The sequence below is a fragment of the Homo sapiens genome, chromosome 1, assembly GCF_000001405.40.
Source record: "Homo sapiens chromosome 1, GRCh38.p14 Primary Assembly".
NCBI classification, from domain to species: Eukaryota; Metazoa; Chordata; class Mammalia; order Primates; family Hominidae; genus Homo; species Homo sapiens.
Window position 1 is genome coordinate 52,236,673 of NC_000001.11, and position 14,486 is coordinate 52,251,158.

The window sequence follows — 14,486 nt, forward strand, 5'->3', positions numbered from 1 at the left end:
TTAATATGATAAATGAACACTTTTTGCCCAGTGTCCTCAGATAATAATATAAATATGAACCTGATTAATAATGTATTGTGACATGGTTACAAGCAGAATTTCACGTACTGTGGCAAACTTTTTTTAACATGTGTTGGGCAAATTTAAAATATTTTTAAGTAAGAAGTATAATAAACCCCAGTGTACCCATCATCCAGCTTTCACAGCATTTCATATGCTGCCATTTTGTTTCATTTATACCTTTATCACCTTCTCACTCCCTGCTTCATTCTTATTTTTTTTAACAGCTTTTTAAAAGGTAAACTTTATATACATTAGAATGCATAGATCTTAACTGTCCAGTTTTGGCAAATGGGTATCTCTCTCAAACCCACATCCTAATTATGATACAGAGTGTAGAGCATTCAGTCTCTACAGAAAACTTCATTTTCCTTCCTGCTTAATTAGTTATCCTAGCCACTGTTCTAAATTTTTTCCATCTAATCCATTAGATTAGCACCTGTCCTGGCTTTGCTCAATCCAAGGGTGCTTTCCCCTCTTCTGGGTCCCATTCACCTGTGGGTCAGTTTAATTATGTTACTAGATTGAGGTAGAATTCTTTTGTTGTTTGGAATAGTCTGAGATATTACCATTTGGTGACATATAATTGCAGAGAATTGTCTGAAATATATTTTCTTATTTTTTAGCCCCGAATTAGAAATCTAATATCCTTGGAATATTTAATTTTCAAACGATAGTTAGAAATGTTATTAACTTAGTCATAAGCTTTTCCAGTGTTACAAGCAAACTTATTGTAATTACTTATTTTTTTCCAGATGAAACAGTTTCTTCTACTTTATTGGATACAAAGTGGAATAAGATTCTAGATCCCCCTTCTCACCGGCTGTCATTTAACCCTACTTTGGCCAGTGTGAATGAATCTGCAGTTTCTAATGAGTCACAACCACAACTGAAAGTCTTCTCCCTGGCTCATTCAGCTCCCCTGACCACAGAGGAAGAGGATCACTGTGCTAATGGACAGGACTGTAATCTAAATCCAGAGATTGCCACAATGTGGATTGATGAAAATGCTGTTGCAGAAGACCAGTTAATTAAGAGAAACTATAGTTGGGATGATCAATGCAGTGCTGTTGAAGTGGGAGAGAAGAAATGTGGAAACCTGGCTTGTCTGCCAGATGAGAAGAATGTTCTTGTTGTAGCCGTCATGCATAACTGTGATAAAAGGACATTACAAAACGATTTACAGGATTGTAATAATTATAATAGTCAATCCCTTATGGATGCTTTTAGCTGTTCACTGGATAATGAAAACAGACAAACTGATCAATTTAGTTTTAGTATAAATGAGTCCACTGAAAAAGATATGAATTCAGAGAAACAAATGGATCCATTGAATAGACCGAAAACAGAGGGGAGATCTGTTAACCATCTGTGTCCTACTTCATCTGATAGTCTAGCCAGTGTCTGTTCCCCTTCACAATTAAAGGATGACGGAAGTATAGGTAGAGACCCCTCCATGTCTGCGATTACAAGTTTAACGGTTGATTCAGTAATCTCATCCCAGGGAACAGATGGATGTCCTGCTGTTAAAAAGCAAGAGAACTATATACCAGATGAGGACCTCACTGGCAAAATCAGCTCTCCTAGGACAGATCTAGGGAGTCCAAATTCCTTTTCCCACATGAGTGAGGGGATTTTGATGAAAAAAGAGCCAGCAGAGGAGAGCACCACTGAAGAATCCCTCCGGTCTGGTTTACCTTTGCTTCTCAAACCAGACATGCCTAATGGGTCTGGAAGGAATAATGACTGTGAACGGTGTTCAGATTGCCTTGTGCCTAATGAAGTTAGGGCTGATGAAAATGAAGGTTATGAACATGAAGAAACTCTTGGCACTACAGAATTCCTTAATATGACAGAGCATTTCTCTGAATCTCAGGACATGACTAATTGGAAGTTGACTAAACTAAATGAGATGAATGATAGCCAAGTAAACGAAGAAAAGGAAAAGTTTCTACAGATTAGTCAGCCTGAGGACACTAATGGTGATAGTGGAGGACAGTGTGTTGGATTGGCAGATGCAGGTCTAGATTTAAAAGGAACTTGCATTAGTGAAAGTGAAGAATGTGATTTCTCCACTGTTATAGACACACCAGCAGCAAATTATCTATCTAATGGTTGTGATTCCTATGGAATGCAAGACCCAGGTGTTTCTTTTGTTCCAAAGACTTTACCCTCCAAAGAAGATTCAGTAACAGAAGAAAAAGAAATAGAGGAAAGCAAGTCAGAATGCTACTCAAATATTTATGAACAGAGAGGAAATGAGGCCACAGAAGGGAGTGGACTACTTTTAAACAGCACTGGTGACCTAATGAAGAAAAATTATTTACATAATTTCTGTAGTCAAGTTCCATCAGTGCTTGGGCAATCTTCCCCCAAGGTAGTAGCAAGCCTGCCATCTATCAGTGTTCCTTTTGGTGGTGCAAGACCCAAGCAACCTTCTAATCTTAAACTTCAAATTCCAAAGCCATTATCAGACCATTTACAAAATGACTTTCCTGCAAACAGTGGAAATAATACTAAAAATAAAAATGATATTCTTGGGAAAGCAAAATTAGGGGAAAACTCAGCAACCAATGTATGCAGTCCATCTTTGGGAAACATCTCTAATGTCGATACAAATGGGGAACATTTAGAAAGTTATGAGGCTGAGATCTCCACTAGACCATGCCTTGCATTAGCTCCAGATAGCCCAGATAATGATCTCAGAGCTGGTCAGTTTGGAATTTCTGCCAGAAAGCCATTCACCACTCTGGGTGAGGTGGCTCCAGTATGGGTACCGGATTCTCAGGCTCCAAATTGCATGAAATGTGAAGCCAGGTTTACATTCACCAAAAGGAGGCATCACTGCAGAGCATGTGGGAAGGTAAGTTGCATGTATACACTCAGAAATCGGGCATGCACATTTTGTAATGCTGAATTAAATAGTAATAAAGGCAATGTAAGGTGAATATATGTCTGGTTGAGTTGACCTAAATAGCATTTTTGAAAACCCAGTTCTAGTAAATTTCTATATAAAAAATGATGTCACTGATTCTTAGATAGTATTTGTAATTTTTTTTGTTGCCACGATTTATGCTGAATCAGTTTTTATGAAGAGATGAGAATTGAGGAAGTGTAAACTTTGTGGTTTCTGTATTGATAGCTACTTGGTTAATGTAATAGTTTGAAATAAGGAAGTTATTCTTTCAGTTTAGGAAATATTTGTCATTAACTTATTGCATTATTTATTGAAAAATGCATTTAAATACAAAAAATAAAAATAAAAATTACATTTAATTGTTGAAAAATATTACACATAGAATCCATCCTACTTTTTTCTGTGAGATTTTTGCCATTATACAAAACATTCTGGAACTCTTTATACACATGCACACATATTTTTGTCTTTTCTCCCATATAACTTTGATACAAAGTAGAGTTGAAGTCTGTAGATTTTTATGACAAGGTTGTAAGAATGATATTCCTTAGCTCTCCCCAAATTTTGTTAGCTAAAAACACATCTTTTTTGTTTGTTTGTTTAGAGTTGTAAATAAGGAAGGAAGGAGATTTTATATTTTTGAGATATGGTGTCAGGTCTAGAATAAAATTTCAGCTTTGTTACTATTAATTATATAACTTTACTAAGCCTTAGTTTTATAATCTGTAAAAACAAACCAAAAAAGATTAATAACTTTTATTGGGCTGTTGTCAAGATTAAATGAGATCTCAGAAGTCATAGTGCTCAATGATTAATCTCTACCTCCCTTCTTGCCTGATTTTTTGGTCCATCTGTATTAATTAGGGTGCTTTCAACTTCAAGGAACAGAGTGTTTGACCCCCCAGTGACTTAGGTGAAAATAACATTTATTTCATGTAAACAGAAGCTATGAGACTCAGTGATTTATGTCTGGGTGCAGAGACAGGATCGTGGAAGTTCTCTCGGTCTTCCCCTCATGTCAGAAGATAGTATCTCAGTTCTAATTATCGGGTCTCAACCTGACAACTTCCTAAGCACAAAGAAACTGGCTGGGGGGCAAAAGAGCCTACTCTACTCTTGGCACCCTCTTATCAGGGAGGAAGGGACCTCCAGCAACTTCCTTTAATTTATTGGCCAATTTTAGACCATAACCAATTACAGGCAAAGGGGACTGGGATTATCTAATCAATCATGATTTATCTCCTGGGGCTGAGCACAGTGTTGCCTGAAAAAAAGTGGGATTCTGTTAACAAAGGAGAAGGGGAAGTAGTGATATGTAGGATGAGTAAGTCTAGACGTCTAATGTACTACATGAGGACTATGCATAATAAAATCATACTATATTTGGGATTCTTGCAAAATGAGTAGATTTTGGTTCCTCTTGCCACAAAAATGGGTAACTGTGTGAGACAATAGATAGGTTAATTTGCTTCACTATAGTAACCTTTTTACTGTCTGGATGTATCTCATAACATCATGTTGTATACCTTAAATGTATACAATAAAATTTATTTTAAAAAAAGGAGAGGAGGAAAATGGTTCCTAGGTGAGCAGTCACTAAGGTTTACTAGAAGATCCTAGCACAAAAGAACCAAATTACAGGGAGCAGAAAGAAGCTAAAGCTGACACTGGGCTTGTTGGTCTCTGATTGCTAAAGTTTGAAGAAAATAATATGTCTAATTCCTAAATATTTTCCAGTCTTCTTCTTGTTAGCTGAAGTACTATTTGTAGATTAGGTTCATCATTTTTATGTTGTTCTGTATTTTGCTTACTGTAACACTTTCTGAAGTGTTTGCTTTCTTAAGTAAATAATGAAAACATTTTTGGTATAGGCCAGCACATCCAGCTATAATGAGTAAATAGGTACCTTAGATGGATTCAGAAAGAAAATGATGCACAAAATGCATCATAAATTGCAAAATGGTTGGAATTTTTGCTGAGTAGAATTTGTGGAATTTATGAATTCATGGATTCATGTGGCTTATGGATTCATAATTTCATCTTTTTCCCTCGTTTACCTTAGAGATGTTATAAGTATTAATGAGATAATATCTGTAAAAATCCTTGAGCTTCTCAGAAGAAAAGGGCTTATAAACATAGATACTAATTGGATTATGCTGAGAATGCAGCTAGAAAAATACCCCAAATAATGTTATATATTGAAAAAAAGAAAGTTTGTTCCATTTCAGTAGAAATTAAGCATACGTAGTAATTACTTAATATTTATAGCTATATTCCCTTTACTGCAACAAGCATATATTGTGTCTAATATATAAAAGGTTCTAGGCTAGGTAATGGGGATTCAGAGGTATATAAATTGGAATTTATGATGTCATGGCAATCTTTTTTTTTTTTTTTTTTTTTTTGAGACAGAGTCTCTGTTGCCCAGGCTGGAGTGTATGGCGTGATCTCAGTTCACTGCAACCTCTGCCTCCTGGGCTCAGGCAATTCTCCTGCCTCAGCCTCCTGAGTAGCTGGGACCACAGGCATGCGCCAACGGGCCTGGCTAGTTTTTGTATTTTTAGTAGAGGCGGGGTTTCACCATGTTGGCCAGGCTGGCCTGGAACTCCTGACCTTAAGTGATCCACTTGCCTTGGCCTCCCAAAGTGCTGGGATTACAGACATGAGCCACTGCGCCTGGCCAATCTACTGACTTTCTAATTATGATTTCATTTATGTCTTATCTAAGTTTATTATTTGTTTTTGTAATTCAGTTCCAAGCTTGATGAGGGTAAGGATTTTTTCTGCCTTGATTGCTGCTGTATCCTCAGCCCTAGAACATACGGGTGCTCAGTAGATATTTGTTAGATGAATTAAACAATAAGTGAATACTGTTTCTTAATGCAGCAGTACTTTTTTTTTTTTTAAATCCAGTGCCTTCAATCTTTAGATGATGGTATCAAATTTAGATATAACGGGTGTAAGAACTTTGGAAAATATTTTAAATTAGTCATGTGTATTGTTCCTACTTAAGAACAGATTCAAACCAAAATGTTTCTTTCCCTAGTTTCTTATGTACTGATGGGAATGAATAGATATGAGAGTAGTAAGTAGCTGCTTTAGAATATTACATGGCAATTCACAGTTTCCCTCATACTTTGCATGAAAATCTGTCTTGCCTTGTAATTGATATTGTGATTTTAGCCATCTGGCATGAAAAAAACAGAACCAACATTTAGATTAATCTTGGTTTCTAGTGAAGCTGAACCCAGGGAAATATTTTCCATTACACACCCTCTGAAAGGCTGTATTGGTTAAAAGTGGTCTCATCCATGTCATAGCACTTATCATGCAGTATTGTCTTTGTCTTTGTTCCCCATTAGGCTGTAAAGATCTTGAGATTGCCTCTGATTTGTCTTTGTATCCAGCATCCAGCACAAATACCTGGCACCTATGAAGTACTCAATAAATGTTTGTTAATGAGTGAGTAAATGAGTCTCAGATCATTGATTAATTCAACAAACACTGAGTGCCTGTTATTTGTCTGTCACTGTGCTGGGTGCCGAGCTTACACCAATGATGTTGTGCTCCCCACCCTCATGGTATGTAAAGATTAGGCCAGTGACAAAAACAAAACAAAACAAAAAAACATGATTTGTGGCAAGGGCGATGAAGGAGATAAGGAGGGATAATATAAAAAATGGGGGTGGGAGAAGAAGGTATGAGAAGACATCTGAGAAGTGACATAGTTCAAGGTTGACACATCAAGGTTGACACATAAAGGTGGAGGAGTCAGTTCTTCAAAGAACAGAGAAAAATGCTGCAGGAAGTAGAACAGCATGGACAAAGTCATTGAGGTTAAGAAGGCACCTATTCAACAAACTGAAGGAACTCCTGCAGGAAGTAGAACAGCATGGACAAAGTCATTGAGGTTAAGAAGGCACCTATTCAACAAACTGAAGGAACTCCAGTATAGTGAACGAGGGAAGAGTCACATAAAAAGAGATGGGAAAGCAGGTGGGGTGGCACAGGCCTGTTGTCCCAGCTACTCCATAGGCTGAGCATGTTATGATCATGTCTATGAATAGCCACTGTACTCCAGCCAGAGTGACAGAGCTGAGACCCCATCTCCACTAAAAAAAAAAAAATGCTGATGAGGAAGTTAAGGAATAGATGATGCAGAGCTTTGCAGGTCATGTAAGGAGCACAGTGGGAAGCCATGGGAGTGGATGAGATTACCAAGGGAAGAGAATAGACTCAGGGCTGAGCCCATGTGGTCAAGCAGAGGAGGACCCAGTACCAGTTGCCAAGGAGTGAGCGGAGAGGTAAATAGAAAACCAGGAAAATATGGTCTCTTGGAAGTCAAAAGAGGAATGTAGTTTGTGAAAGGGTTTATCACCTATATAAAATACTGTCAGTAAGATATGGACAGGAAAGGGACCATTGGACTTGGCTATAACAGGGTCATTGAAAAAAGCTGATTGAGTGGAGCAATGTTTACAGAAGCCAGATGGGAATGGGTTGAAAGTGGAATATGAAGGGAGGAAGTGGTGATGGCTTTTTCAAGAACTTTTGCCATGAAAACAGAAAAAAATTGTAGCAATTATTAGATGGAGATGGTGGTTATGGATGCCTTTTTGGAGGATGGGAAATACTGTTGTATTTTTATAGTGGTATGGGTGATTCTCTAGAAAAGAAGTTTTAGGAGAAAGGGAGGATTAAACAAAGGAAGAGAAAAATCCTTGAGAAGGCCAAAGGGATGGGATCTACAACATGTTGAGGATTTGCTCTTCAGTGGGTGGGGCTAGACAGAGGTTGGTTTATGAAGTTAGTGGTGAGAGCATGAAGAAATTTACACCTGATTGGCTTATACTTCATATAGAAAATATAAACATTGTGAAGGGTGAAATAGGGATAGATGATGAAGGTTTGAGGAGAGTGAGATAGTTACATTGGAGAGGAAAAGTAAAGCCTAATAGTGAATTGAAATTTCAAGAGCCCTTTGTGCTTGGCATCAAACTTTCAGTCAGTTAGATGAATTAAAAAATAATCTAGTCCAGTCCTGACTTAATGGGTTAGAATCAGTATTTATCCTTGGAGATATGATGAAATTGTTATATTATCTTTGCGATACAAGCATTTTAGTTTGGAGAAGCAAGAAGAGTTCTGTAGGACCCGTCTGTGCTACTACCTGTCTACCTATTTCCATGTATTTGTTCTTTTTTAAAACAATTTAAAAAAACTTTTAGCTGGATGCAGTGGCTCATGCCTGTAATCTCAGCACTTTGGGAGGCTGAGGCAAGTGGATAGCTTGAGATCATGAGTTCGAGACCAGCCTGGCCAATATGGTGAAACCTCATCTCTGCTAAAAATACAAAAATTAGCTGGGCGTGGTGGCAGGGGCCTGTAATGCCAGCTACTCAGGAGGCTGAGGCACGAGAATTATTTGAACCCAGGAGGCAGAGGTTGCAGTGAGCCGAGATCGAGATCACGCCACTGCACTCCAGCCTGGGTGACAGAGAGAGACTCTGTCTCAAAAAAAAAAAAAATTATGACATATTATTTGTTCTTTCATTCAGTGAGCATTTACTTATTGCTTGGTATTCTGTTTTTTACTAAAGAGAAGCAAAAAGAAAAAAAAAAAGGAAAAGAATGGGCCTCCTGGTAAAACATACCACTCATGTTACTGTAGATGACTTAAAGATATAAAATGAGAAATGAACAGTTACAAAGCTGCAGATGCTCTGCAGTGGGAAGCAGATAGATTGTGGTGGTGGTGGTGGTTGTGAGGAGAATGAGATACTAATATTTATTGAGTGTTTACCATGTGCCAGGCGCTTTTCTAAATCCAGACTTACAGACTTTATTTAATACACATAACAACCCTATGAAGTAGCTAGCTACTGTTAAAATCCACATTTACAAGTGACAAAATAGGCCTAGAAAGATTAAGTAACTTGTTCAAAATCACACAGCCAGTAAGTGAAGTTACGATTCAAACTCAGGGACTTTGACTTCTAGAACCAAAAGGGAGCTAGCATTTGTTTAGTGCCTATTCTGTGCTTTATTTATTATCTAACTTAATCTTCCTGGTAAACCTGTGTGATAGTTGATGGTATCCCTAATTAACATTGAAGAAACTGATACGGTAGGACCCTGACACAGTCTTGCTAGCTGTATAACTCATGCTCTTTCCCATAAATAAAGTTGAGAGAATAAAACAAATAGGTTTCTTTATGGTGATCTTTATGTTATTTTCTTTGCATTTCTGAGAGAAATGTCTGCATTTATGCCATAATTTTTATTTTTAATTTTTGGAGACAGGGTCTCACTCTGTCGCCCAGGCTGGAGTGCAGTGATGCAATCTCAACTGACTGCAGCCTCTACTTCCTGGGCCCAGGCAATTATCCCACCTCAGCCTCCTGAGCAGCTGGGACTACAGGCACACACCACCACACCCAGCTAATTTTTGTATTTTTTGGTAGAGACAGGATTTCACCGTGTTGCCTGGGCTAGTCTCAAAACTCCTGGGCTCTACTGATACATCAGCCTTGGCCTCCCAAAGTGCTGGGATTACAGGTGTGAGCCACCATGCCTGGCCTTTATGCCGTAATTTTTAAAACAAATGCCTTAAATACTATTTCAAAAAGAAAGATGAAAAATATCTAACATTTTATTAGATATAAATTTTTATTTTGAATAGTTATGTGTTAAATTAGTTGCAGTTTATTTTTGGGTAACTTGAGTTGAAGTCATTTTTGTTTAACATTTGAGAATTTAGATGTGAATAGAGAATAACCTTCATAAAATCTGAATTAGTAACACATTAAGACAAATAATGTTTTGGCTTATACCTTCAGAGATCAGTTTTCTTAAGGATTTTTTTTATCCTGTTTTTTTTCCTGGGTTTTTTTTTTTTTTGAGACAAACTCTTGGTCTGTTGCCCAGGCTGGAGTGCAGTGGCATGATGGTGGCTCACTGCAACCTTGACCTTCCAAGGTCAAGCGATCCTCCCACCTCAGCCTCCTGGGTAGCTGGGGCTACGAGCATGTGCCACCACGTGTAACTAATTTTTTTTTTTTTTTTTTTTTTGAGATGGAGTTTCACTCTTGTTGCTTGCCCAGGCTGGAGTGCAGTAGCAAGATCTTGGCTCACTGCAACCTCTACCTCCTGGGTTCAAGCGATTCTCCTGCCTCAGCCTCCTAAGTAGCAGGGATTACAGGCACCTGCCACCACACCCGACTAATTTTTTTATTTTTAGTAGAGACGGGGTTTCATCATGTTGGCCAGGCTGGTCTCGAGCTCCTGACCTCAGGTGATCCACCCACCTTTGCCTTCCAAAGTGTTGGGATTACAGGCGTGAGCCGCTGTGCCCGGCCACTAATTTTTTAAAAAATTTAATGTTGCCCAGGCTGGTCTCGAAATCCTGGGCTCAAGGGATCCTCTTCACCTCGGCCTCCCCAAGTGTTGGGATTATATGTGTGAGCCACTGCTCCTGGCTGCCTTTGATTTTAAAACATGGCCACTGGTTGGGCTCCTTGGGAAGCAGAAAGGTAGTAGTAGGCCCTCACTCAGTACCAAATGTTATTAACAGATAACTTAGGTGCAAAGTGGGATAAAACACATGTAGCTAGAAAATGTTTGCACTAAGTTCATGCTATTTTTTGTTTTTTTGCATCTCTTCTCCTGAAAGCCATCTCCCTTTCAATATCTAGTCTGCTGATACATTCTAAATACTAGTCACAATTTTTTATTGTAAAATATGCATAACATAAAATTTACCAGTGTATATGGGTTTGAGGGTATATGGTTCAGTGGCGTTACATGCATTCACATTGTTGTTGTACAACCATAACAACTATCTCCAGAGCTTTTTGTTTTTTTTTGAGACGGAGTCTCGCTTCGTTGCCCAGGCTGGAGTGCAGTGGCGCAATCTCGGCTCACTGCAACCTCTGCCTCCTGGGTTCAAGTGATTCTCCTGCCTCAGCCTCCCGAGTAGTTGGGATTACAAGCACCCACCACCATGCCTGGCTAATTTTTGTATTTTTAGTAGAGACGGGGTTTCGCCATGTTAGTCAGGCTGGTCTCAAACTCCTGACCTCAGGTGATCTGCCCGTCTTGGCCTCCTAAAGTGCTGGGATTACAGGTGTGAGCCACTGTGCCTGGCCATTTTTATCATCTCAAACTTAATAACTTCCCATCTTTCCTTGCCCCTAATGCCTGGTGACTGCTATTCTACCATCTGTTTGTATGAATTTCACTATTCTAGGTACCTCATATAAGAGTGGTTACACAATGTTTGTACCTTTGTGTCTACACATTTCATCCATGTCGTAGCATGTATTAGTCAGAAGGACAGAACCAATAGGATGTGGAGATATATAGATATATATATATGACTTTAATAGGTAGGATATATGTATATATACGAGAGTTTATTAGGGAGAATCAACTCACATGGTTAGAAGGTGAATTCCCACAATAATCTATTGGCAACCTCGGGAAAGAGAAGCTAGTGGTAGGGCTCAGCCCAAGTTTGAAAGCCTCAAAAGCAGGAAAACCAACAGTGCAGCCCTCAATCTGAGGCCTAAGGCCTGAGAGACCCCCAGAAGGCTGCTAGTGCAAGTCTTAGAATCCAGAGCCCAAAGAACCTGGAGTCTGATGTACATGGGCAGGAGGAGAGGATATAAGCATCTGGCAAGGAAAAAGAGAAAGCAAGCAGGAAGACTCAGCAAGCAGGCTTATCTTTGCTTCTTCTGCCTGCTTTGTTTTAGTGCACTGGCAGCTGATTGTATGGTGCCCACCCCCATTGAGAGTGGGTCTTCTTCTCCCAGTCCACTGACTCAAATGTCAGTCTCCTCTGGCAGTACCCTCACAGAGACACCCAGAAACAATACCAGCCATCTAGGCATTCCTCAATCCAGTCAAGTTAACACTTAATACTAATCATCACATAGTGTGTATCAGAGTTTCATTCCTTTTTAAGTCTGAATATTTCATTGTATGTATGTACCACATTTTGTTAATTCATTTATCCATCAATGGACACTTCAGTTGTTTCCACCTCTTGGGTATTACCAATAATGCTACTATGAACATGGGTGTACAAGCATCTGTTTGAGTCCCTGCTTTCAGTTCTTTGTGTATATACCCAGAAGTAGAATTGCTGGATTATATGGTAGTCCTGTGTTTGATTTTTTGATTAAGCACCATATTCTTTTTCCACTGCAGTTGCACAATTTTCCATTCCCGTCAACAATTCACAAGAGCTCCAGTTTCTCCACATCTTCTTTGGCTCTGTGTCCCCACCCAAATCTCATCTCGAATTGTAATCCCCATGTGTTGGGGGAGGGGCCTGGTAGGAGGTGATTGAATAGTGGGGGCAGATTTCCCCCTTGCTGTTCTCATAATAGTGAGTTCTCATGAGATCTGGTTGTTTGAAAGTATGTGGCACTTTCCCCTTTGCATGCTCTGTCTCTCCTGTTCCACCACGGTAAGATGTGCTTGCTTCCCCCTTTGCCTTTTGTCATGATTGTAAGTTTCCTGGGGCCTTCCAGTCATGTTCCCTGTTAAGTCTGTGGAACTGTGAGTCAGTGAAATCCCTTTTCTTCATAAATTATCCAGTCTCCAGTAGTTCTTCATAACAATGTGAAAACAGACTAATACACTTGTCAACACTTGTTTTCTATTGTTTTGATATAGCCATATTAATAGGTGTGAAGTGGTATCTCATTGTGGTTTTGGTTTGTATTTCTCTGATGGTTAGTGATGTTGAGCCTCTTTTCATGTACTTACTGGTCTCTATATTAAAAATCTTTGGAGAAATGTCTATTCAGGTCTTTTGCCCATTTTTAAATTGGGTTGTGTTTTCTGTTGTTGAGTTTTAGAGCTCTTTATATATAATTCAGTCTCCTATCACATAAATGATTTGCAGATATTTTCTCTTATTCTTGGGTTTTTCATTCTGTTGTCCTTTGATGCACCAAAGTTTTTAATTTTGATGAACTCCAACTTACATTTTCTTTTGTTGCCTGTGCTTTTGGTGTCATATCAAAGAAATCATCTCCAAATTTGATGTCATGAAGTCTTTCCCTTATGTTGTCTTCTAAGTGTTTTGCAGTTTTAGTGCTTGCGTTTAGGTCTTTTATCCATTTTGAGTTAATTTTTTGTGTATAGTATTAGCTTAGTTTTATTCTTTTGAATGTGGATATCTGGTTTTCTCAGTATCATTTGTTGGAAAGACTGTTCTGTTCCTATGGAATGGTTTTGGCACTCTTGTCAAAACTAACTGGACCATATAAGTGAGAGTTTATTTCTGGGCTTTTTTCTATTCCATTGGTCTTTATGTCTGTCTTTAATGTCAGTACCACATGGTTTTGATTACCATAGCTTCATAGTAAGTTTTGAAAACATGGAATGTGAGTCCTCTGGGGTTGTAGTTTGTCAGGATTATTTTGGCTATTCTGGATCCCTTGAGATTCAATTTGAATTTGAGAATGGATTTTTCTGTTTCTGCAGAAAACATGGTTAGGGTTTTGATAGAGATTGCGTTGAATCTGTAGATCACTATGGGCATTGTTGACATCTTAATAATAAGCCTTCTAGTCCATGAACATGGAATGTTTTTCCATTTATTTGTATGTTCTTTAATTTCTTTTAGCAATCTTTTGTCTTTTGTAGTTTTCACTGTACAGTATTTTACCTCCTTGGTTAAGTTAATTTCTAGGTATTTTATTCTTTTTGATGCTATTGTAAATGGAATTGTTTCCTTGATTTCATTTTTGGATAATTCATTATTAGTATGTAGAAATGCAATGGACTTTTTTGTTGATTTTTGTATCCTGAAACTTTGCCGCATTTATTAGCTCTAACAGTTTTTGTGTGTTTGCGGGGAATCTTTAAGGTTTTCTAAATGTAGCATATGTTGTCAGTATACAGAGATAATTTTACCTTTTCCTTTCCAACTTGGGTGCCTTTTATTTATTTTTAATTGCTCTGGCTAAATTTCCAATACTATGTTAAATAGATATGGCAAAAGTATGTATCCTTGTCTTGTTTCTATCTTAAAGCAAAAGTTCTTTCAGTCTTTTTTTTTTTTTGAGACAGGGTGTCATTCTGTCACCCAGGCTTGAGTGCACTGCCATGATCTCAGCTCACCGCATCCTCAACCTCCTGGGCTCAAGGTATCCTCCCACCTCAGCCTCCCAAGTAGCTGGGACTAACAGGCGTGCACTACCACACCTGGCTAATTTTTTTTTATTTTTAGTAGACATGAGGTCTACTGTGTTGCCCAGGCTGGTTCTGAATGTCTAGGCACAAGCGATCTGCCTGTCTTGGCCTCCCAAAGTGCTAGGATTACAAGTGTGAGTCACCATGCTTGGCCAGTTTTCAGTCGTTTTTGTTGTTGTTGTTGTTGTTGTTGTTGTTGTTGTTGTTTGTTTGTTTTTTGTTTTTCTTTTTTGAGATGGAGTCTCGCTCTGTCACCCAGGCTGGAGTGCAGTGGCGCGATCTTGGCTCACTGCAACCTCTG

The 14,486-nt window shown here is 38.6% G+C and overlaps 1 protein-coding gene across 5 annotated transcripts in view; it reads left to right on the plus strand.

Annotated features, from left to right (window-relative positions):
- Positions 1–14,486, plus strand: part of ZFYVE9 (zinc finger FYVE-type containing 9) — a 204,546-nt gene that overhangs the window by 94,584 nt on the left and 95,476 nt on the right. For all 5 annotated transcript variants that reach the window (NM_004799.4, NM_007324.5, XM_047434682.1 and 2 more), the window contains exon 4: positions 816–2,923. In NM_004799.4, the coding sequence (NP_004790.2) occupies positions 816–2,923 (2,108 nt within the window). The remainder of the gene's footprint in view (positions 1–815; positions 2,924–14,486) is intronic.